Source organism: Homo sapiens, chromosome 1 (genome assembly GCF_000001405.40).
Source record: "Homo sapiens chromosome 1, GRCh38.p14 Primary Assembly".
Classification (NCBI taxonomy): domain Eukaryota; kingdom Metazoa; phylum Chordata; class Mammalia; order Primates; family Hominidae; genus Homo; species Homo sapiens.
The window spans coordinates 28,734,844-28,757,452 of NC_000001.11; the positions used below are offsets into that span (position 1 = coordinate 28,734,844).

Sequence of the window (22,609 nt, forward strand, 5' to 3'; positions counted from 1 at the left end):
ATTACAGGCGTGAGCCACCGCACCCGGCTTTTTTTTTTTTTTTTAAAGTTTATCTTCACGACAAACCTGTTGGGTAGGTATCATTATCCATCATCCCCTTTATCAAATGAGGGAATCTAAGAAAGGTTTTAGTTGTTTACCCAGTATTGCACATCTGGGTGGGGAAACCATTATTTAGACCCTTTGTCTCCCAGCATATGACTTCTCGTCTAATGCTGTTTTTACAATGCCATGTTGCCTCCAAGGGTAAGTATAGGCAACCGCTTACAGTTTATACATAAATCTGGGCCATGGAGCTAAGTGGCTGATTATTATTATTTGTTATTTATTTATTTATTTATTTTGAGACGAGTCTCGCTCTGTTGCCCAGGCTGGAGTGTAATGGCGTGATCTCGGCTCACTGCAACCTCTGCCTCCCGGGTTCAAGCGATTCTCCTGCCTCAGCCTCCGATTAGCTGGGACTACAGGTGCATGGCACCATGCCCAGCTAATTTTTGTATTTTTAGTAGAGTCGAGATTTCACCATGTTGGCCAGGATGGTCTCGATCTTCTGACCTCATGATCCGGCCCGCCTTGGCCTCCCAAAGTGCTGGGATTACAAACATGAGCCACCGCGCCCGCCGTAGCCGAGTATCTTTAAAAAGAAGTATTACTAGGTTTATTCTATTCCCTTGATGGAATCTATGCTCCCAGACTTGACATTTTACTGTCTCCATTAAAAGTCCTTCACCTTTGGTGCCTGACCTTACTCATTCCTACCATAAATGTGATTATGGGCAGAGAAAAAAAGTGCTTTGAGCACTTTGACCAAATTATGATGTTAAATCCAAGATGCCATGTTATTTATTTTACCGAGTCCACCCAAGCCTCCTATATCCAGCGTGTGGATAGTACGAGGTTGACAATTAGTGCATTAGTTACCTGTTTACCACGACGTACTTGCAATAACAAAAGCTATTAGATGGGCTTTCCTAGTATCAAATATTCCTGCATGAGTTGGCTTTGCTTCTGATTGAAAATACTTTTGCCCATCCTTTGCATCTCCCCTATATTCTGGTTCCCTAATACAGAGTCTCGTAGGGGTAGAGAGATACCATTATGTTAGTGTCAGATACACCTGGCTATTTAATAGTTTTGTAAACTTGGGCACATTACTTAAGCTTTCTGTTTTTCCAGTCGTAAAAAACCGAAAGACTGATAGCGATTTTGAAGTTGTCGAAAGACTTTAATGTGTTTGAAAATACCTAACAACAAAGCCTGGCCCACAGCTGGTATTTCAATAATGTTAATTTCCTTGCTTCCCTCTTGAGGTCCTTAAGATTCATAGGTTCTCCGGACTCCTTGAAAGTTTTGTGTAGATGCATGAGGTGTATTTTTCTTGGAAATAAAGTCCACAATTTAACAGATTATCTTGGGGCCAGCGATTTCCCCGAAAATAAATTGTAGATTCTCCTTCCTGCAATGCTAAGGGGTGAATCTCTTTTGCGGGAGACTGGATTCTTTCGGTGTGTGTTTTGCTCTCTGGGTACTCTTTCTGTAGTCGGCTAACAGAGGATGACCAAGCCCCTCGCGGGGGCGGGGGCGGGTCACTCCCGGACAGGGCCCCCATGAAGTTTCCCTGGGGACTGTGTGACTCCCTAGGGGTCGGGTTACCTCCCAGATGGGGGTGGGGTATCACTTGCAGCTGGAAGGCAGGTTCATTTTAAGGTCTCGCGGGCTTCGGAGGCCCCTCCCTCACTGAGAAACCGGCTTTTGTCGTTCTTCTGAAGCCAGAGCTAGTCTTTCCAGGTGTTAGTCGAAACCTCGTGGTGCGACCCTGGTCGTCCCAAACCCCCTAGGCCTTAATCCTGGGGCGGTGGGGGCGGGGAGGCCGTGAGCACGGCTTCCGCTCCTCCAATCCGCCAGAGGGCGCAGCGGCCGGCCTCTCCCTTCCCGGGGTTCTTCGCGCCGGGCCCCTTCCGCGTGGGTGAGTGAATGTGAGAGTCAGCGCTCGCGCCGCGCGCGCCGCCCGCCTCCGCTGTTCGGCGCTCTGCTTTAGGCGGTGGGGGGCGGGCGCGCGCGTAAAAGCATAGAGACGGGCATTGAGCTCTTGGGCTAGAGCGTCGCCGAGTCGGAGCCGGAGCCTGAGCCGCGCGCTGTGTCTCCGCTGCGTCCGCCGAGGCCCCCGAGTGTCAGGGACAAAAGCCTCCGCCTGCTCCCGCAGACGGGGCTCATCTGCCGCCGCCGCCGCGCTGAGGAGAGTTCGCCGCCGTCGCCGCCCGTGAGGATCTGAGAGCCATGTCGGCCAGCAGCCTCTTGGAGCAGGTACAGGCCCGGCCCGCATGCCTCGGCCATTGTGTGAGGCGAGAAGGAGCCCGACTAGGCCCGGGCCCGCCGCTCCTGGGCAGGCCGAGCCGAGCCGAGGCGTCGTCTCTTGCGGGCCAGGTTTCGGGCCTCTCAGGCCGGCCGCGCCCGGCGCCTCTCCCTCAGCCTGTTCTTCCCGCTTCTCCTCGGGCCTCGGAGCCCACGGGCCGGGCCGCGCCGCGTTCCCTTCTCTCGGCGGGCCTCGTTTTCCTTCCTTGTTTCCTTCCCCTTCCTTAAAGCCCTGGGTTCCTCGCGTCGCCGGTGGCGCGTCTGCCGCGTTTTCTCCCCTGCCCCACGGGCCTGGCGCTTTCCCCCGCCTCCCATTTTCAGCCTCTTCCTCACTACCATTCCTGACGCCTCCCCTCGGGCCTGCTCCTTTATTCTCCCTTCGGGCCCTGCCTTAATTTGTTCTTCCTTTTCCATTTCTCCTTTGGACAACTTGCTGCTCGGCGACGTTTCCTTCCCCTGCAGAGACCAAAAGGTCAAGGAAACAAAGGTAAGTCCCGCTCCGCCGGTGGCCCTGAGCCGGGAGGGGGACGCGGGGCGGTGGGGGCGGGGTCTCCGGGAAGCGCCCCGGGCGGAGGACCTTTCGGAAGCCGCTTAGTTCGCAGGTGCCGCACACTTAAGTATTTTGACCCTTTCGGTGTGTTCTTGCAGCTGGCGAACAGCTTTTTCGCTAACAAGGAGTAATTCATTAAGGGTGGGGGTGGATTGGGTTTTGAAACGCTCCAGGTCCTTAGTTTCCTGTAGGTCTTAGAAGGCCTTTGTTTTTCATCCTCGTGGATCACTCTCTGGAAGTACTCTCATGTGATGGGGGAGGGGAAGCGGGAGGGAATGGAAATCCAGAGGAGCCAATAAAATGACCTTTTTAGATCAACTTGCTCTGGGTGGAGGGGGACATTTTCACTGGCGACTGTCGCTTCAGCATTCACTGTCATCTCTTACCCTTTTGAAGTTCAATCTTACGTGCTTTGTTAACTAGTAAGGTTTTTCTCTGGTTAGCATATATGAACTAATTTGAAAGGAAGATTGTAGGATTGGGACACTCCTAATTGAATTTTTTTTTCTTTAGTACAAAATGGATCTGTACATCAAAAGGATGGATTAAACGATGATGATTTTGAACCTTACTTGAGTCCACAGGCAAGGCCCGTGAGTAGTTAACTATTTACATATCTAATCGAAGGGTGTGGTATATTCTTTCTCCGCCTTCTACCAATAAATCCCATTTTCTGAGGATTCATTTTTTTTTCTTTTTTCTGTTTTCTGTTTTTTTGAGACTGAGTCTCGCTCTGACGCCCAGGCTGGGGTGTAGTGGCGCAATTTCGGCTCGCTCCAACTTCCGCCTCTCGGGTTCAAGCGAATCTCCTGTCTCAGCCTCCCGAGTAGGTGGGATTACACGTGTGCACCACCGCACACAGCTAGTTTTTCTATTTTTTTAGTAGAGACGGGGTTTCATGTTGGCCGGGCTGGTCTTGAACTCCTCAGGTGATTCACCCGCCTTGGCCTCCCAAAGTGCTGGGATTACAGGCGTGAGCCACCACGCCTAGCCGAGGATTCACTTTCTTAATACCTGTATTTTTTCTCTGCCCTCTATCAGGAAATCCCATGTTCTGAGGGTTCACCTCCTTAATACCTATTAATGTATTATAAAACAGTTAACTGCAAATGTCCTAGGCCGTTGAGATTCCCATCTCTGTAATATCAGCAACCATACTGTATTGAGAACGTAATACTGATAACACTCTACTGGCAGTAACATGTGCATGAATAATTGTCTTCTTCCTTACCAAGAATGTAGCAGTGCAGAATTTAGGGATTCTTACAGTGTTAAATATTCTGAATTTTCACCCCAGAGAACTTTGGATTCATATGATAGGGAAAGTTCTAATGTAAAATCACCTGAAGGCGGGAAGATCTCTTGAGCCCAGAAGTTTGAAGCTGCAGTGAGCTATCTACGATCATACCTGTGAAAAGCCACTGCGCTCCAGCCTTGGTGACAGAACAAGATCTGGTCTCTAAAAAATAGTCACCTGAACTTCATTCAGTGCTGCAGGACTGGCTGTCTTTCTTTTCTCTAGTTTATGGGTTCTTAGATTATCAGAACTATTTCGGAGTTAGGAAATTTTTTTTTTTTTTTTTTTGAGACGTAGTGTCAACTCTTGTCACCCAGGCTGGAGTGCAGTGGTGCAATCTCGGCTCACTGCAACCTCTGCCTACCAGGTGATTTTGCCCGCCTCAGCCTCCCAAGTAGCTGGGACCACCATGCCCGGCTAATTTTTTTAATTTTTTTGTAGAGATGGGGGTTTCACTATGTTGCCCAATCTGGTCTTGAATTCCTGAGCTCAAGAGGTCCGCCCTCCTCGACCTCTCAGAAGTGTTGGGATTACAGGTGTGAGCCACCATGCCCGGCTGAGTCAGGAAATTTTTGAGTTGAGCTGCACCTACATCTGTGGAGAATACTTTATTTCTCACCGAAGGGAGGTGTAGGATTTATAAAATGGAGTGAAAGTTAAAATACTGTTTAGCACAAATGAAGATCAATAACGTTGGAGGTTTTTGTGGCATAGTCTTTTAAAGTTGCATGTAGATTCAAATACTAATATGACCTGTGCATGTAGAAACTTGTTTGATTCAGCAGTTCTTTTGTATTATTATCTCTGATTCCAAAGACAGTTACACTGTTGTAACTAATTTAACTCCCCAGATTAATAGGCCAAAAGGAAAACTGGCAATATATCTTCCAAAATGCCCTGAAAGGTCAAGAAATTTATAAGTTCTGAACGTATGCTGTATGAAACATAGTTGGTAGTCCTGAATAACTGCATGCCCATATATGGATCTGATTATCACATAAAACTTGTAGAATCCCTGTGTAAAATTTTCAACACTGAAAGTATAGAAACCACTTGAGCAAGTGATTGGAAAAAAGTTTTCACAAAACACAACCAGTTAATCAGGAAAAGTAGGGAAGGAAGTAGAGGAATGAACTATTAATAGGTTCCTGCTATTGAAGTAGTTTGCTTACATAATCATTATAACAGGGAGAGTTGGAGCATTTAGAAGCATAATTCTAGGTAGTTCTTGTAAAACATTGTGTAATTCAAATTTTTTAGCTTGAGCATGTGGGAGCCTGCCAGTTCAGGTACAGACATTCAACTGTGTCTTGGCATAACCTGTGATATTAAGTGCATTTGATTTTTCTTTCTCAGGTAAGCCAAAGCTTAAATGTCTTTGTTTAAAAAAAATTTGGCTAATAATATAAATCTTAGATGAGTAGATGAGGAAGGGTAACCTGAGAATCTAGTTCATTGTCTAGAGTAAGTCATCTACTTTTTAGCCAATTTTTCATTACCCTATTTTGGAATAATACTTCAAGTTTAATCTGTTGATTATAGGCTGAATTTCTTATATATGTGGATTTGGGTCTGCTAAAATTTTTAACCTTACCTTTGTGAGAAATTTTAAATGTGAAAAGGGTATGTGTGAAAAGACCTCACTTTTGTTTTTATGTATTATTTATTTATTTATTTTTGAGATAGAGTCTCACTCTGTCACCCAGGCTGTAGTGCAGTGGTGCGATCTCGGCTCACTGCAACCTTCACCTCCTGGGTTCACACCATTCTCCTGCCTCAGCCTCCCGAGTAGCTGGGACTACAGGCGCCCGCCACCATACCTGGCTAATTTTTTGTATTTTTGCTAGAGACGGGGTTTTAACTGTGTTAGCCAGGATGGTCTCGATCTCCTGACCTCGTGATCCTCCCACCTTGGCCTCCCAAATTGCTGGGATTACAGGTGTGAGCCACCGCGCCCGGCTATTTATTTTTTTTGAGACGGAGTCTTGCTCTGTTGCCCAGGCTGCAGTGCAGTGGTGCAGTCCGGCTTACTGCAACCTCTGTCTCCTGAGTTCAAGCAATTCTCCCACCTTAGCCTCCTGAGTAGCTGGGATTACAGGCAGGTGCCACCACGCCTGGCTAATTTTTGTATTTTTAGTAGAGACGGGCTTTCACCATGTTGGCCGGGCTGGTCTCCAACTCCTGGCCTCAAGTGATTTGCCCGCCTCAGCCTCCCAAAATGCTGGAATTACAGGCGTGAGCCACTGTGCCCGGCCTGTTTTTATTTTATTTTTTTGAGACAGTCTGGCTCTGTTGCCTGGGCTAGAGTGCAGTGGTGCCATCTGGGCTCACTGCAACCTCGGCCTCTTGGATTCAAGTAATTCTACCGCCTCAGCCTCCTGAGTAGCTGGGCCTACAAGTGTGTGCCACCATGCCTAGCTAATTTTTTGTCTTTTTAGTAGAGACTGGGTTTTATCATGTTGGCCAGGCTGGTCTCGAACTGACCTCAAGTCATCCACCCCTCTGTCTCCCAAAGTTCTGGGATTACAGGCGGGAGCCACTGCGCCTGGCCATATTTCTCATTTTACATCCTCCAGAAACCACTGTGCATTTCCTTTTCAGGTTATAACTGAGTAGTGGGATCTATTGATATTCCCAGATAGTTTGCCAAGAGGCTAGCACTATAAACTGGTAGTGAACCTTGCTTTTTGGTTTATGATTGAGGAACGGCTGTACAGACATTTGGGCTAGAACTTGAAATTTCCATTTCTTTTTGTTATTCTTGTTTTATTATCACCTGGTTTGTATAGGAAGTTGATAAAAGGATTATCTCAACACTCAGGACTTAAACAGTTTGTGAAATGCTAAGTTTTCTCTTTACTTAGTTGTAGTGCTAAAGCTAAGGCCCATATTCACTGTATCAGCTTAACTTTAAATGTTTAAACATTTCAGTTATTACACCAAAATTTCTTATGATATAAAAAATGCCCTTGTGTTTATAGGAAATCATCTGATGTGCTGCACACTTTTTTTTTTTTTCCTGGAGATGGAGTTTCACTCTTGTTGCCCACAGGCTGGAGTGCAGTGGTGCGATCTAAGCTCACTGCAACCTCCGCCTCCTGGGTTCAAGTGATTCTCCTGCCTCAGGCCTCCCAAGTAGACAGGGTTTCATCGTGTTGGCCAGGTTGGTCTCGAGCTCCTGACCTCAGGTGATCCACCCGCCTCCACCTCCCAAAGTGTAGGGATTACAGGTGTGAGCCACCGCGTCCGGCCTGCACACTCCTTTTTATAGTATATTTGAATTGCGTGACTAGGTGGGGGGAGGAAATAGCCTGATGTTAATTTTTTGTGTTTTGATTTGCCTTTTTTTTTCTTCCACAGAATAATGCATATACTGCCATGTCAGATTCCTACTTACCCAGTTACTACAGTCCCTCCATTGGCTTCTCCTATTCTTTGGGTGAAGCTGCTTGGTCTACGGGGGGTGACACAGCCATGCCCTACTTAACTTCTTATGGACAGCTGAGCAACGGAGAGCCCCACTTCCTACCAGATGCAATGTTTGGGCAACCAGGAGCCCTAGGTAGCACTCCATTTCTTGGTCAGCATGGTTTTAATTTCTTTCCCAGTGGGATTGACTTCTCAGCATGGGGAAATAACAGTTCTCAGGGACAGTCTACTCAGAGCTCTGGATATAGTAGCAATTATGCTTATGCACCTAGCTCCTTAGGTGGAGCCATGATTGATGGACAGTCAGCTTTTGCCAATGAGACCCTCAATAAGGCTCCTGGCATGAATACTATAGACCAAGGGATGGCAGCACTGAAGTTGGGTAGCACAGAAGTTGCAAGCAATGTTCCAAAAGTTGTAGGTTCTGCTGTTGGTAGCGGGTCCATTACTAGTAACATCGTGGCTTCCAATAGTTTGCCTCCAGCCACCATTGCTCCTCCAAAACCAGCATCTTGGGCTGATATTGCTAGCAAGCCTGCAAAACAGCAACCTAAACTGAAGACCAAGAATGGCATTGCAGGGTCAAGTCTTCCGCCACCCCCGATAAAGCATAACATGGATATTGGAACTTGGGATAACAAGGGTCCCGTTGCAAAAGCCCCCTCACAGGCTTTGGTTCAGAATATAGGTCAGCCAACCCAGGGGTCTCCTCAGCCTGTAGGTCAGCAGGCTAACAATAGCCCACCAGTGGCTCAGGCATCAGTAGGGCAACAGACACAGCCATTGCCTCCACCTCCACCACAGCCTGCCCAGCTTTCAGTCCAGCAACAGGCAGCTCAGCCAACCCGCTGGGTAGCACCTCGGAACCGTGGCAGTGGGTTCGGTCATAATGGGGTGGATGGTAATGGAGTAGGACAGTCTCAGGCTGGTTCTGGATCTACTCCTTCAGAACCCCACCCAGTGTTGGAGAAGCTTCGGTCCATTAATAACTATAACCCCAAAGATTTTGACTGGAATCTGAAACATGGCCGGGTTTTCATCATTAAGAGCTACTCTGAGGACGATATTCACCGTTCCATTAAGTATAATATTTGGTGCAGCACAGAGCATGGTAACAAGAGACTGGATGCTGCTTATCGTTCCATGAACGGGAAAGGCCCCGTTTACTTACTTTTCAGTGTCAACGGCAGTGGACACTTCTGTGGCGTGGCAGAAATGAAATCTGCTGTGGACTACAACACATGTGCAGGTGTGTGGTCCCAGGACAAATGGAAGGGTCGTTTTGATGTCAGGTGGATTTTTGTGAAGGACGTTCCCAATAGCCAACTGCGACACATTCGCCTAGAGAACAACGAGAATAAACCAGTGACCAACTCTAGGGACACTCAGGAAGTGCCTCTGGAAAAGGCTAAGCAGGTGTTGAAAATTATAGCCAGCTACAAGCACACCACTTCCATTTTTGATGACTTCTCACACTATGAGAAACGCCAAGAGGAAGAAGAAAGTGTTAAAAAGGTAACCCACTTCTTCTTATTAAGATTTTTAGGGAAGGAGGAACCAGAGAGAACAGAAGAGGTATTATATAGTGAACCGTTAATAAAAACTCTGTAAATGAATACAGTATCACCTAACAGTTCAAGGCTTTATAGAAGTATAATTGGTTTTAATACTTGAACCCTAATGTGAAGGAATGTGAGAACATTAGTAGAGGACAGAAATACGGACTTTGAAAGGAAAGCAAAAACAGTACAAGGAAATCAGACAGAAACAGTACATGATGCAGAAAGAGGTGAAGAATGAGTCAAAGAGATGCAGAGGGGTAATGGAAGTGATAAAACCATAGAAATTAAAGCAGAAGATTGAGTCTATAATATGGCAGAGAAAAATCGAAATGTTCTCTGTTGGATTAACTTGGCCTAGCTGGGGTTTTGTGGTTATTTTCAAGAGTCAATATGTCATCACCAACTCTTGAAATCACTTCTGTCTTCCCTGTGACAATTGGCGGTGTAAAAGAGTCACTTCTGATTTCCTCTGTAACAAGTGGGAATCTTGGGCAGAATGATGAGGAATGGATTCAAACTAGAGTTGAATTTGAAAGAGTTGGTAGCGTTTGCTCTGTGAGTATTGAGTGAATGTAAACTTTAGGATTATAAGAGGATGATAAAACTGGTTGGAGCAGATAATGATATATTATCTGGGATTTATACTTACTTTTTTTTGGACAGGGTTCTCTGTTGCCCAGGCTGGAGTGCAGTGGCATGATGTCCGCCCACTCCAGCCTCCACCTTCTGGGCTCAAGTGATCCCCCCATCTCAGCTTCGTGACTAGCTGGGATCACAGTCATGCACCACCATGCCCGGCTAGTTTTTCATGTTTTTTGTAGAGCTGGGTTTTGCCATGTTGCCCAGGCTGGTCTTGAACTCCTGAGCTCAAGTGATCTGCCCCTGCCTCCCAAAGTGCTGGGATTACAGGTGTGAGCCACTGCAGCTGGCCTAGACATTGTTAAATGTAGGAAGTAGGTGAAAAGTTTATGAGCAAGGAGAAATTTTTCTTTGAAGATCTGTGTATTAGTGGTTGAGAGAATCCTGAGTTGATTAATCTCAAATATAAAATAAAGTCTAACAAGCAATGTTTTCCTTAAATTTGTTATGAATTCATAGGGATCTTATACGTGATCTAGGATCTGAGGCATTGTTAGGCTGCTCTATGAGAATTTACTCCTTTTAGCAGTGGAGGAAGGGCTCGTTGGTACAATCTTCTTGGAGGTACATAGTTGTTAAAGTAGGGATGGTTGCTATTTTATCTTTCAGTGGGTACAGATTAATAAGAAATGGGAGTTACACTTGTCAGTGACACTAAAAGCATTGGGAATGGAGAACCAGATTATTGAAAAGTTGGCTAATAAACTTCCTTTTTGATAGTCCTTTAAACTCCTCTCTTCCCCACAGTTTAATAGTTTAACTTAAAGTCTTCCATATTAAGCCTGGCGTCATGGCTCACGCCTATAATCCCAGCACTTTGGGAGGCTGAGGTGGGCAGATCACCTGAGGTCAGGACCAGCTTGACCAACATGGAGAAACCCCGTTTCTATTAAAAGTACAAAATTAGCCGGGTGTGGTGGCACATGCCTGTAATCTCAGCTACTTGGGAGGCTGAGGTAGGAGAATCACTTGAACCCCGAAGGCAGAGGTTGCGGTGAGCCGAGATCGTGCTCTAGCCTGGGCAACAAGAGCTAAACTCCCATCTCCCCCCGCCCCCCCCCCCCAAAAAAAAACTAACATATTTTGGCCTGGCGTGGTGGCTCACACCTGTAATCCCAACACTTTGGGAGGACGAGGCAGGAGGATTGCCTGGGCCTAGGAGTTTAAGACCAGCCTGGGCAATGTAGTGAGACCCCATCTCTCTAAAAAAGAAAAAATTAGCTGGGCATGGTGGCACACACCTGTTGTCCTAGCTACTTTGGAGGCTGAGGAAGGAGGATCCCTTGAGTCCAGGAGTTAGAGGTTGTAGTGAGCCATGATTGCATCACTGCACTCCAGCAGGGGCAACAGAGTGAGACTCTGTATCAAAAATAAATAAAATTTACAGTATTTTGTAGAAAAAGATAGTTTATTGGTGCTTTTTGCTAGACATCTGAAGGGCTCTAAATGGTCATCAGGCTTCTGTTTCTAGAGGGACAAGTAAGGAGGCCATGATCTTTTAGGCATCTTTTAGTAGCATAGCAGATTTATAGACGTCTGAGGGGCATCTAGGTGCTTGGTTTGTCCACTTGAAATGTGTACTATCTTATTAATCTTTATAATAAAATTCTGTCCTACATCTTGTGATTAAAAGCAGGAAGGAAATGATGAATTTAATGCACAGCATAGTTGTTAAGATAGACTTGTATGTGTTAGGGCCAGTGGGGAAATACAGGGTGATTTTCTTTTCAATTTTGCATTGCTGGGGCCAGATGAAGAAATATGGGTTTAGAAATGGAGTAGCAGGCTGGGCGCAGGTGGCTCATGCTTGTAATCCCAGCACATTGGTAGGCAGAGGCGGGCCGATCACTTGAGGTCAGCAGTTTGAAGCCAGCAGTTTGAGGCCAGCATGGTGAAATCCCGTCTCTACTAAAAATACTACAAAAAAAAAAAAAAAAATTAGCTGGGTGTGGTTGTGGGTACCTGTGATCCCAACTACTTGGGAGGCTGAGGCAGGATAATTTCTTGGACCCGGGAGGCAGGGGTTGCAGTGAGCTGAGATCCTGCCACTGCACTCCAGCCTGGGCGATAGAGAGAGACTCTGTCTAAACAAACAAGTAGCAAATTTAGGTTTTGTTAATTTAGCTTTTGGCCAGGCTCTGGCTCACGCCTGTAATCCCAGCACTTTGGGAGGCCGAGGTGGGCGGATCACCTGAGGTCAGGAGTTTGAGACCAGCCTGATCAACATGGAGAAACCCTGTCTCTACTAAAAAATACAAAATTAGCTGGGCGTGATGGTGCATGCCTGTAATCCCAGCTACTTGGGAGGCTGAGGCAGGAGAATCGCTTACACCTGGGAGGCGGAGGTTGCAGTGAGCTGAGATGGTGCCATTGCACTCCAGCCTAGGCAACAAGAGTGAAACTCTGTCTCAAAAAAAAAATTCAGCTTTTAATCAAGTATGTATTTTGATTATGTTTGCTAGAGTGGTTCAGTTAATGATAATTGAACTTGATATGTAGGTGTAAGATTCGTTTGTTGGAATTGACCAGCCTTTTAATGTTTTCATAGAATGAGTGCAATAGTAAACAGAATTTAGCGTCTTTGGTAAGCTAACTAATGGCTCTTTTTAAAAACCATTGCCCAGCGCGGTGGCTCATGCCTGTAATCCCAGCACTTTGGGAGGCCGAGGCGAGCAGATCACGATGTCAGGAGTTCGAGACCAGCCTGGTCAACATGGTGAAACCCTGTGTCTACTAAAAATACAAAAATTAGCTGGGCATGGTGGCAGGTGCCTGTAATCCCAGCTACTACTTGCAGTGGGCTGAGATTGAGCCATTGCAATCCAGCCTGGTGAAAGAGCAAAACTTGTCTAAAAAAAAAAAAAAACCATTCCATAAAGACTTTTTTTTTTTTTTTTGAGAGACGAATCTCACTCTGTCGCCCAGGCTGGAGTGCAGGGGTTTCACTGTGTTAGCCAGGATGGTCTTGATCTCCTGACTTTGTGATCCTCCCGCCTCTCCCTCCGAAAGTGCTGGGATTACAGGCGTGAGCCACCACGCCCAGCCCATAAAGACTCTTGATAAGTGAGTATCCTAGTTCTCAGCCGGTGAGCAAACCACCAAATAAAGGCTTCAATTATACTTCTGTCAGGTTACTTTTTAGTTTACTCTCTTGTAAGAACTGCTGGCACTGGCCGGGCGCGGTGGCTCACGCCTGTAAGCACAGCACTTTGGGAGGCTGAGGCGGGCAGATCACAAGGTCAGGAGATCAAGACCATCCTGGCTAACATGGTGAAACCCCGTCTCTATTAAATAAACTACAAAAAATTAGCTGGGTGTGATGGTGGGCTCCTGTAGTCCCAGCTACTCGGGAGGCTGAGGCAGGAGAATGGCGTGAACCCAGGGGGCGGAGCTTGCAGTGAGCCAAGATGGCGCCACTGGACTCCAGCCTGGGCGACAGAGCGAGACTCCATCTCAAAAAAAAAAAACCAAAAAAAAGAACTGCTGGGATTTCAGGAAGATGCCTATGATTGCTTCTAAGCCCAGTTACCATTTTAGTTAGTACTGCCTTACTCTCCTGTTGGTTACTATTTTCCTTAACATCTTTACATAACTGATTGTAAACTGTTCTTACAATCTTTATTAGGCTTTAAAGAACAAGCAGGTTTTATGAGAATGGGGCTCATAGCTCATTGAGATGGTAGACTCCCTTAGGTGAAGTGTTTGTGTGTGTACCTTTGTAGTATTTACGAGATTGCAGAAGCTTTCATGCCAGATGGGTGGTAACCCCATAAAGAAGTAGGGAAGTACTTAAACTTCATCCTGAAGGTGTCACAGCTGTTTTAAAGTTCCATGATTGGGCAGTATCTTGGCAGAACACACTGAAGCAGAGCCACAGCCATTTTTGCCTAGCATTATTACTGACTTGTTCTGCATGATCTAATTAACATAGAACCTTCAAGCATTAGATCTGTCAGGCTTGAAACTTAGAGCAAATTTTAGTGACATGTTTGATAGATGTGACTTACTTTTATTTTTTTAAAAAGCAATATACTGTGCTTTAGGTGTGGTTTACCTTGTTGAATACTGCAGATACTATTGTGTGACCTTTCTGCGTTTATTTAGAACTTTTCCCCAGTTAAGTATTCCCTATGACATCACTTTTGTTGGCTTCATAGTATTGTCAGACTTACTATAATTTACCAATCCCTAATTGTTGAATATGTCAACAATTTGTATTTTATTTTTTCTAATTAAAATAACACTACACTGAACATCCTTTTGTATAAATATTTACATCTGTCCTTTAGTAGTTAAATGTGTCAAAGGTATATGGTTTTTTAAAATTAGTATTTAACCACAAACTCAGAAATTCTTACTAAAGGGGTATGTGCTTTGTGGTCTTGGCTAATTTCTGTATATATTGCTACATAAACCTTTTTCCTTTTTCCTGAAAAGTTTTGTTGAGGGAATCATTGTGCAACTGTTATCTAGAAGAAGGCAACAGTTAAGAGCCTTTCTTTCTTCCTTTTTTTTTTTTTTTTTTTTTTTGATACGGGAGTCTCAGTCTCGCTCTGTCGTCCAGGCGGGAGTGCAGTGGCGCATTCTCGGCCCACTGCAAGCTCCGCCTCCCGGGTTCACGCCATTCTCCTGCCTCAGCCTCTCGCGTAGCTGGGACTACAGGCGTCCGGCTAATTTTTTTGTATTTTTAGTAGAGACGGGTTTTCACCGTGTTAGCCAGGATGGTCTCGATCTCCTGACCTCATGATCTGCCCGCCCCGGCCTCCCAAAGTGCTGGGATTACAGGCGTGAGCCACCACCACACCCAGCCGTGTTTCTCTTTTGACTCAACTTTGGAATAGTCTGGGAGAAAGGAGAGTTAACTTTCCTGAATGAGTGAATTTTTTAAAAGAAATTTCATAAAATAATTGGTTTAATTTTTGTCTTGTTTCTAGCCCTTTAACTACAAGTAAAAATGAGGGAAGTAGTCAAGAATAAGGGAAGCAGTCAAGTAGAGAGGACAAAGGACTAATTCTTTTAAGTCCAGCATCTTGTTAGATTCAATGAATGATGGAGCCGTGGGAGACAAAAATTAATGAAATAGAAAAAAAAGGTAGACTTAATTGGGTACTTGGGTAAATGATTTTTCTGAATAACTGCAGAGCAAATGGAGAGTGAGGAGAGAGTTGAGTTACAGAGGAAGTGTGATTGTGGTGGCAACAGTTTGAGTTTTAGTCTAAAAAAAAGTCATTGGTATTAAATGGGACCAGTAGGATTTTTTGACTTTTCACTGTATACCCTTTTGTGCTATTGAAATTTTTGAAAAAAAAGGTTGTTTTTTTTTTTTTTTTTTTTTGAGATGGAGTTTCACTTTTGTCACCCAGGCTGGAGTGCAATGGCGTGATCTCGGCTCACTGCAACCTCTGCCTCCCAGGTTCAAGCGATTCTCCTGCCTCAGCCTCCCAAGTAGCTGGGAGTACAGGCAGCTACCACCATGCCCGGCTAATTTTTGTATTTTTAGTAGAGACAGGGTTTCACCATGTTGGGCAGGCTGGTCTTGAACCCTTGACTTTGTGATCCGCCTGGCTTGGCCTCCCAAAGTGCTGGGTTTACAGGCATGAGCCACCATGCCCAGCCCAAATTTTTTTAAGACTAGATTCTTCATGTCAAAAGACAAAGCTAGAACGAATGGATAGAGGTTATATGGAGAAATATTTTTGTAGATGGAAAACTTGCTAAAAACGAAGTTCTTAGTCACAGAATTTCAAGAAACTAAAAGAGATGTTATAGAAACTAAACTAGGGATGTTGTAGAGGGGGTTCATACATAGGGTAGTCTGGACTAGAGAAACCAAGGGATAAAAGAGGATTAGCTGACTCAGGATAACATTTCAGGTTTGTGAAGATGAATTTGTCCTTTGAAACAGATCTTTTTAGAAAGGTTGTTTCATAATTTCTGACCGAAGTATTTGTTACACGTAAAATAAGTAAGAACGGACTGAGGCCAGAAAGCTGTGGATGACAGAAGGGATTGGTGCATTCTCAGTGAATTTTGATACAAATTAAGTATGTGGGTAGTTTTTAAATACATTTACTATATATATATATTAATGAAAAATTGTTTCCTAAACTGTGAAAAGGCTTATTAAAGAAATTTAGAGGCTGGATGCGGTGACTCATGCCTGTAATTCCAGCATTTTGGGAGGCTGAGATGAGCACATCACTTGAGCCTAGGAGTTCAAGACCATCCTGGGCAACATGGTGAAACCCTGTCTCTACAACAAATAAAAAAATTAGCCAGGCGTGGTGGCTCGTGCCTGTAATACCAGCTAGTTAGGAGGCTGAGGTATAAGAATCGCTTGAACTTGGGAGATGGAGGTTGCTGTGAGCTGAGATTGTGCCACTGCATTCCAGCCTTTGTGACAGAGCGAGACTGTCTCAAAAAAAAAAAAAAAAAAAAGGCTGGGCGTGGTGGTGCACGCTAGTAATCCCAGCTACTCAGGAGGCTGAGGCAGGAGAATCTCTTGAACCCAGGAGGTGGAGGTTGCAGTGAGCAGAGATTTTACCACTGCACTCCAGCCTGGGTGACAGAGCGAGACTGTCTCAAAAAAAATTCAAGTTTCTGTGATATAAAAGAGGAAAACATCCTCACTTGAGCTAAATATATTAAATCCTTAGGAAGTAAATAACCATGTGATACTGTTGGCTCCCATTTAGTATCTTACCACCCCACCACTGTTTTATTGACTCTTCAGATCTAGTGAGTGGGCATCCTGTTTTAAACCAGGATGACAAACATGAGCATTTTTTGTAAAATCCTAAGGCCATCTATGTCTATTTTTGTCTTGCAGATAAATATACTTGTTTATCTGCCAAAAGGGTTAAGGAAATTTTATTTGTATTACTCATCACCTTCCTTGCTTTGTGAATAGATAAAACGCCTCTTTCTGCAGCCTCCTTAAAGGAGGACTAGAAGAGAATAGATAACATTGAATTTGTATCTCTGAACCATGCCCCTTGTATCTATCTTTCAACAAACGTTTGTGTTAATTGCTGGGATGGAACAGAGAAACAAGGCACCATCTTTGCCTTAGAAGCAGAGGGTTTTAGGAGGACAGCAAAATGGATAAAATATGGGATAAGAGCTGTAATAGAGGAATGAATACATTTTTGGCATTCTGGAGAAGTGATTAATTACTTGGGGGAAATTAAGAATTCATGGAGGCAATAACATTGGAACCCTGCCAAATAAGTAATAATAGAATGATAAGCACTCAAATGGCAGCACAGTGCTTGGCACATAGTACACACAGAAGCTTAGCTATCTTATCTAACACTGTAATTCTCATATTTCAGATAAAGGAAGAGGCTCAGAGGTTATTTATCCAAAGTCTCATAGCTAGTAAGTGTTGGAGTTGGTCTTTAACAGAAGTCTCTCCAGCGATGTGTTGGAGCTGGCTAGTTGGAGCCAGCTGTTTAGCTTTCAAGAATACCTTTCTGTACATTAAATTACATTATAATTACCATCGTATTAGGTAATATTCAAATTCCTTACTCTTGAGGTTATTTACAGCTGTTGTATCAATATATAATATGCTGTTGCACACTGATAACACATTGGTAATCTGAAATCAGCTGTGGTGTTTTTGTTGTTGTTGTTGTTTTTGAGACGGAGTCTCACTTGTTGCCCAGGCTGGAGTGCAGTGCAGTGGCATGATCTCAACTCACTGTGTCCTCCACCTCCCGGGTTCAGGGCTGCCTCAGCCTCCCAAGTAGCTGGGACTACAGGTGCTTGCCACCACTCCCGGCTAATTTTTGTATTTTTAGTAGAAGCGAGGTTTCACCATATTGGTCAGGCTGGTCTCGAACCCCTGACCTTGTGATCTGCCTGCCTCGGCCTCCCAAAGTGCTGGGATTACAGGTGTGAGCCACCATGCCTGGCCCAGCTGTTAGTTACATCGTGGAAATTGACAAATGCTGTATATAAATCAATGTTTAATTTTTGCTGATTGTCTAGACTTCATAGTGATGGAGAAAATATTGATTGCAGATTAAATTTGTGTGTCACGACTGTAGCTCTTAAACATTTTTTTTCAATAACACAAAAATTTGTCCTGCACAGTGGCTCACACCTGTAATCCCAACACTTTGGGAGGCTGAGGTGGGAGGATTGCCTGAGCTCAGGAGTTTGAGACCAGCCTGGGCAGCATAGCGAGACCTTGTCTCTACAAAAAATTTAAAAAAAATTAACCAGACTTGGTGGCGCATAACTAAAGTATAGCTACTCAGGAGGCTGAGGCAGGAGGATTGCTTGAGTCCAGGAAATGAAAGCTGCAATGAGCTGTGATCATGCCACTGCACCCCAGCCTGGGTGACAGCAGGAGACTGTCCCTAGAAAAAAAAATTTTTTTGAGGAAATATTCTAATATTTGAAAAACTATTACCCAGTTTAGCAAAGAAGTTGCTCAAAACATGTTTCATGTTTGTATATTGGAACTTACACCTGGAGAGCCACTGAGTCTCTAACCCCGAAGCTCATGGACTACTCCATGATCTATGAAGTTTGCCAGATAGAAAAGTAGAGAAATGGCTAGGTGCAGTGGCTCATGCCCGTAATCCTCGCACTTTGGGGAGGCTGCAGCAAGAGAATCACTTGAACCCAGGAGTTTGAGACCAGCCTAGGCAACATAATGAAATCCTGCCTCTCCAAAAAAAAAAAAAAAAAAAAAAAAAAAAAAAAAAAAAAAATCAGCCAGGTGTGATGAGGCACACCTGTAGTCCTAGTTGCTCAGGAGGCTGAGACAGGAGGATTGCTTGAGCCCGGGACGTCAAGTCTGCAGTGAGTCATGATGGTACCACTGTACTCCAGTCTGGGCACAGTGAGACCCTGTCTTCCAAAAAATGGCATTCTAGTAAGAGCATGTTAAAAACATAGTCTTGAGAATGCTTATGGTATGTTTTCAGAATGAGAAGTTTAATGTGGTCTAGAATGGTAAGTGATAACGCTGGAGAGATTGGTTGGGCAAGTATATGAAGAGTTTCAGGATTTTATTCTTTTTTTTTTTTTTTTTCTGAGACAAAAATCTCGCTTTGTCCCCCAGGCTGGAGTGCAATGGCGCGATCTTGGCTCGCTGCAGCCTCCCCCTCCCAGGTTCAAGCGATTCTCCTGCCTCAGCCTCCCGAGTAGCTGGGATTACAGGTGCCTGTCACCACGCCCAGCTAATTTTTGTATTTTTAGTGGTGACAGGGTTTCATCATGTTGGCTAGGCTGGTCTCAAACTCCTGACCTCAGGTGATCTGCCTGCCTTGGCCTCCCAAAGTGCTGGGATCACAGGTGTGAGCCACTGCGCTCGGCCTAGGATTTTATTCTTTACCTGTGTTTTAGTTTGGTTGTAAGGGAGGGTAGTTAATTAGGGAATAACAGTTTGGAGGATGGGAAGGATGAAACACTTACTGAGCATTGACCTTGTTAAGCACCATGCTAGGTACTTTCATAGCCTTACTTTAATCCCCATACCAACCTGGGAGGCAGTATCCTGTATTTATAGATCAACAAATGGAAGCTTAGGAAAGCAACTTATCAAAACATCTATGAGGCTGGGTGAGTTGGCTCACGCCTCTAATTCCAGCACTTTGGGAGGCCAAGGTTGGCAGGTCATTTGAGGCCATGAGTTTGATACCAGCCTGGCCAACATGGCGAAACACTGTCTCTACTAAAAATACAAAAAAATTAGCCGGGCGTGGTGACGGGCGCCTGTAGTCCCAGCTACTCAGGAGGCTGAGGCAGGAGAATGGTGTGAACACTGGAGGCGGAGTTTGCAGTGAGCTGAGATAGCGCTACTGCACTCCAGCCTGGGCGAAAGAGCGAGACTGTGTCTCAAAAAAAAAATTGGCCGGGCGCGGTGGCTCATGCCTGTAATCCCAGCACTTTGGGAGGCTGAGGTGGGTAGTTCGCAAGGTCAGGAGTTCAAGACCAGCCTGGCAACATGGTGAAACCCCATCTCTACTAAAAAATTAGCTGGGCGTGGTGGTGGGTGCCTGTATTCAGGGGGCTGGGGCAGGAGAATCACTTGAAACCAGAAGGCGGCAGTTGCAGTGAGCCGAGATTGCTCCACTGCACTCCAGCCTGGGCAATGAGAGCAAAACTTCGTCTCAAACAAACAAAAAAATTAGCCAAGAGTGGTGGTGTGTGCCTATAGTCCTATAGTCCCAGCTACTCAGGGAGCTGAGGGATGAGAATCACTTGAACCTGGGAGGCAGAGGTTACAGTGAGCCGAGATCGCAACACTGCATTCCAGCCTGGGTGACAGCTCAAAAAAAAAAAAAAAAAAAAAGGGGTGGGAGATGGCTCAGAGACTAAACGAGATGCTTTTACAGTATTCTGGGGAAAAAAAGATGATGAGGGCCTGAACCAGGACAGTGGGAACGGGAAACTGGATATGAAGAATGTGGTAGACATATTTGTTGACTAGTTTTTCAAAAATTAAAGATGATGAGAGGAGCAGCAGTTTAGGGTTAGGATTTGGGGTTGTATTGGCTTTTGGAAATAGTTTCAGGTGCCTGTGATAGTAGCAGCAGCCAGGTGATAGTAGGCAGCTGGGAATCTGGAGCTCAGATTGTTGACAGGAATTTGAATTTTCAACCCTCAGGATAGGTAAAGGCATGGAAGAGTTTGACTTTTCAAAGATTCTTGTAATAAGAATGGCTAACAGTTATTGAATGCTCTGTACAGTGTCTAGCATACAGTTGTCTTGAATATATATTTAAATGTATGTTCATTTAATTCTTGTATCCTTGTGAGGTAGGTATAAGTAGCTCAGTTTTACTGATGAAAACATTAAAACACAGAAAAGAGTAAATAACTTTGCAAAGGCACATGAGATACGAAAGTAAAGCTGGTGTTCTAATTCTGCAGCGTGGTTCTAGAGCCAACACGAGTGAGAGAAAAGGACTATGGAAAAAGTTCCCCAGAAATAACAAAATTTGAAGAATAAAGAGGGAGCAAGTGAAAGAGATTGAGAGAGAATAGTTTGAGTTTCAGAAAGAGAACAAGGAAGGGGCTATTCAGGTTGAGTATTCCTAATTTGAAAATCTGAAATGCCCCAAAGTCTGAAACTGAGTGCACACATGACACTGAAGAAAATGTTCATTGGAGCATTTCCTATTTTGGATTTTCAGATTAGGGTTGCTCAACCAGTATGTATCTACAAATATTCAAAAAATCTGAAATCCAAAACATTTCTTACCCCAAGAATTTCAGATAGGGGATACACAGCCTGTATGGAACTTCAAGCAGTATGGTAGAGTACACTTAACTCAGAGGCTGCAGAGAGGTAACAGATGACTGCAGATGCCAGTGATGTCTGTTGAATAAAAAGTTGCTTTGCTATTAGAGACTTGAAAGTTTTGATCTCCGTACTTCATTCAAAAGACTCTGCATGTTTCTTTATCTTTGTGTTTGCAGAGTCGGTATCTTTCAACCTCTGTTCCAAGCCTTAAAGAGCTATTATAAAGCTCTTTTGTTTGCCTAGTATGGGCTGTTTTGGTGAAATAGACTATGTAAAAATGTCTGAAATACAGAGTTGAATATGAAGAATGGCAGCATTTTGATTTTGATGTGGCTAAAGATTGATCCAGGGAGGACTGCTATTTTTCCATGCTTAAACATTTGTGGGACAAGGGCTAGTTGGCAATGCTAGAATCGTTTAGTATATCTTGAATAGTTTAAACCAAGAATCACTCAAGTATGAGCCATTCTGCTTACCTACCAGAAGTAAAGATTACTCCTCTAACAGTTTTTAGCATTGGAATTCTTTTTTTCCCTGCAAACAAAACTTTTCTTGGAACCTCATGAATGATTTTTACATGTTCAGCTTCCCTTCTCCCAGAAGATACCTGAAGCATCTCTCCTATGAAGCATAATTTGAAACACACTAGATGACAGTGAATTTTTAAAAATGGGAATGATGCATGGAAGATGAGGTAGAGGGATCTGTTTTGATATGGGAGAAGTATGAGGATTCAGCAAGTTCAGCATCTCTTCTAAAGGTGTTGGGTGATTTAGTCTGGGCGCAGGTTTGGAGGGATGAGGAAGAGTTACCCAGGAGGGAGATAGGGAAGGCTTACAGCATTGGCTTTGCCTGCCTGCCTGCCTGCCTGCCTTTAAGGGACAGCATGATGAAGGACTGTTCTTATAGTTCCTTAGGAGTTTATGCAGAGGAGAAAAAAAAGCTCTGTTCTTTGAATTAGGGCAAACGTTCTCTTCCTGCTTTTTTACATTCATCATTGAAATCCTGTAAGTCTGCACAATGAGCAAGGAAAAAGTGGCAGCTCAGATCGTTGCTTCTTTCTCCTACACAAAGCAGGTAACAGTTTAAATATGCATGCTGCTGCCACCTCCTGGACCAAATTCTAGTTCCAGTGGGCCCAATTAGTAGTACCCTAATGCTTTTCATTCCTTGCGGAATAAACAAATAGTCCCTCGTTGAACTGATTTAACTCCAGTTAGCCATTGGGAAAAGATATCAAGGAATTACGATGTATCAAATGAAACATTCTAGGGCAGCATATATTAAAGTACTAATTGACAGTGTGAGACCAAGTATAGAAAAATAGCAAAATCAGTTAGAGCTAGAGTTACCAAGAAACTTTTATGGAAGACTTAATTTGAATTGGGTCTAAAAGGATGGGTAGGAAAAGACAGAAAGATGAAGAAAATGGCCAATCCCCTGTGTGAACTGTTGGATATAGAGTGGGAAGGGACAGGGGCTGGCAGTTGTTCTACTTTCCAACTCATTTGCAC

General features: G+C 44.4%; 1 protein-coding gene across 3 annotated transcripts in view, besides 9 other annotated features; it reads left to right on the forward strand.

Annotated features, from left to right (window-relative positions):
* Positions 14–913: an enhancer, noted in NCBI's record as "H3K27ac hESC enhancer chr1:29061369-29062268 (GRCh37/hg19 assembly coordinates)". NCBI's record gives its function as "activates a minimal SCP1, AML or CMV promoter by ChIP-STARR-seq in primed H9 embryonic stem cells {active_cell/tissue: H9 hESC(primed)}" and the evidence as "EXISTENCE:reporter gene assay evidence [ECO:0000049][PMID:30033119]".
* Positions 1,444–1,493: an enhancer, noted in NCBI's record as "active region_604". NCBI's record gives its function as "activates an Ori minimal core promoter by ATAC-STARR-seq in GM12878 lymphoblastoid cells {active_cell/tissue: GM12878}" and the evidence as "EXISTENCE:reporter gene assay evidence [ECO:0000049][PMID:35858748]".
* YTHDF2 (YTH N6-methyladenosine RNA binding protein F2) overlaps positions 1,781–22,609 on the forward strand; it is a 33,152-nt gene continuing 12,323 nt past the window's right edge. The window contains exons 1-5 of one of the 3 annotated variants that reach the window (NM_001173128.2): positions 1,781–1,966; positions 2,204–2,304; positions 2,815–2,839; positions 3,416–3,495; positions 7,560–9,143. In NM_001173128.2, the coding sequence (NP_001166599.1) occupies positions 2,278–2,304; positions 2,815–2,839; positions 3,416–3,495; positions 7,560–9,143 (1,716 nt within the window). In that variant the 5' untranslated portion in view covers positions 1,781–1,966; positions 2,204–2,277. Of the gene's footprint in view, positions 1,967–2,096; positions 2,305–2,814; positions 2,840–3,415; positions 3,496–7,559; positions 9,144–22,609 lie in introns of those variants that run through there. The other 2 variants (NM_016258.3, NM_001172828.2) reach the window with 2 other exon arrangements.
* Positions 1,813–2,711: an enhancer, noted in NCBI's record as "NANOG-H3K27ac-H3K4me1 hESC enhancer chr1:29063168-29064066 (GRCh37/hg19 assembly coordinates)". NCBI's record gives its function as "activates a minimal SCP1, AML or CMV promoter by ChIP-STARR-seq in primed H9 embryonic stem cells {active_cell/tissue: H9 hESC(primed)}" and the evidence as "EXISTENCE:reporter gene assay evidence [ECO:0000049][PMID:30033119]".
* Positions 2,594–2,703: an enhancer, noted in NCBI's record as "active region_605". NCBI's record gives its function as "activates an Ori minimal core promoter by ATAC-STARR-seq in GM12878 lymphoblastoid cells {active_cell/tissue: GM12878}" and the evidence as "EXISTENCE:reporter gene assay evidence [ECO:0000049][PMID:35858748]".
* Positions 8,446–8,954: an enhancer, noted in NCBI's record as "H3K4me1 hESC enhancer chr1:29069801-29070309 (GRCh37/hg19 assembly coordinates)". NCBI's record gives its function as "activates a minimal SCP1, AML or CMV promoter by ChIP-STARR-seq in naive H9 embryonic stem cells {active_cell/tissue: H9 hESC(naive)}" and the evidence as "EXISTENCE:reporter gene assay evidence [ECO:0000049][PMID:30033119]".
* Positions 13,152–13,375: a silencer, noted in NCBI's record as "fragment chr1:29074507-29074730 (GRCh37/hg19 assembly coordinates)". NCBI's record gives its function as "represses an EF-1alpha promoter that drives an FKBP-Casp9 reporter gene in an ReSE screen in K562 erythroleukemia cells {active_cell/tissue: K562}" and the evidence as "EXISTENCE:reporter gene assay evidence [ECO:0000049][PMID:32094911]".
* Positions 13,950–14,471: an enhancer, noted in NCBI's record as "H3K4me1 hESC enhancer chr1:29075305-29075826 (GRCh37/hg19 assembly coordinates)". NCBI's record gives its function as "activates a minimal SCP1, AML or CMV promoter by ChIP-STARR-seq in naive H9 embryonic stem cells {active_cell/tissue: H9 hESC(naive)}" and the evidence as "EXISTENCE:reporter gene assay evidence [ECO:0000049][PMID:30033119]".
* Positions 14,472–14,992: an enhancer, noted in NCBI's record as "H3K4me1 hESC enhancer chr1:29075827-29076347 (GRCh37/hg19 assembly coordinates)". NCBI's record gives its function as "activates a minimal SCP1, AML or CMV promoter by ChIP-STARR-seq in naive H9 embryonic stem cells {active_cell/tissue: H9 hESC(naive)}" and the evidence as "EXISTENCE:reporter gene assay evidence [ECO:0000049][PMID:30033119]".
* Positions 19,668–20,167: an enhancer, noted in NCBI's record as "H3K4me1 hESC enhancer chr1:29081023-29081522 (GRCh37/hg19 assembly coordinates)". NCBI's record gives its function as "activates a minimal SCP1, AML or CMV promoter by ChIP-STARR-seq in naive H9 embryonic stem cells {active_cell/tissue: H9 hESC(naive)}" and the evidence as "EXISTENCE:reporter gene assay evidence [ECO:0000049][PMID:30033119]".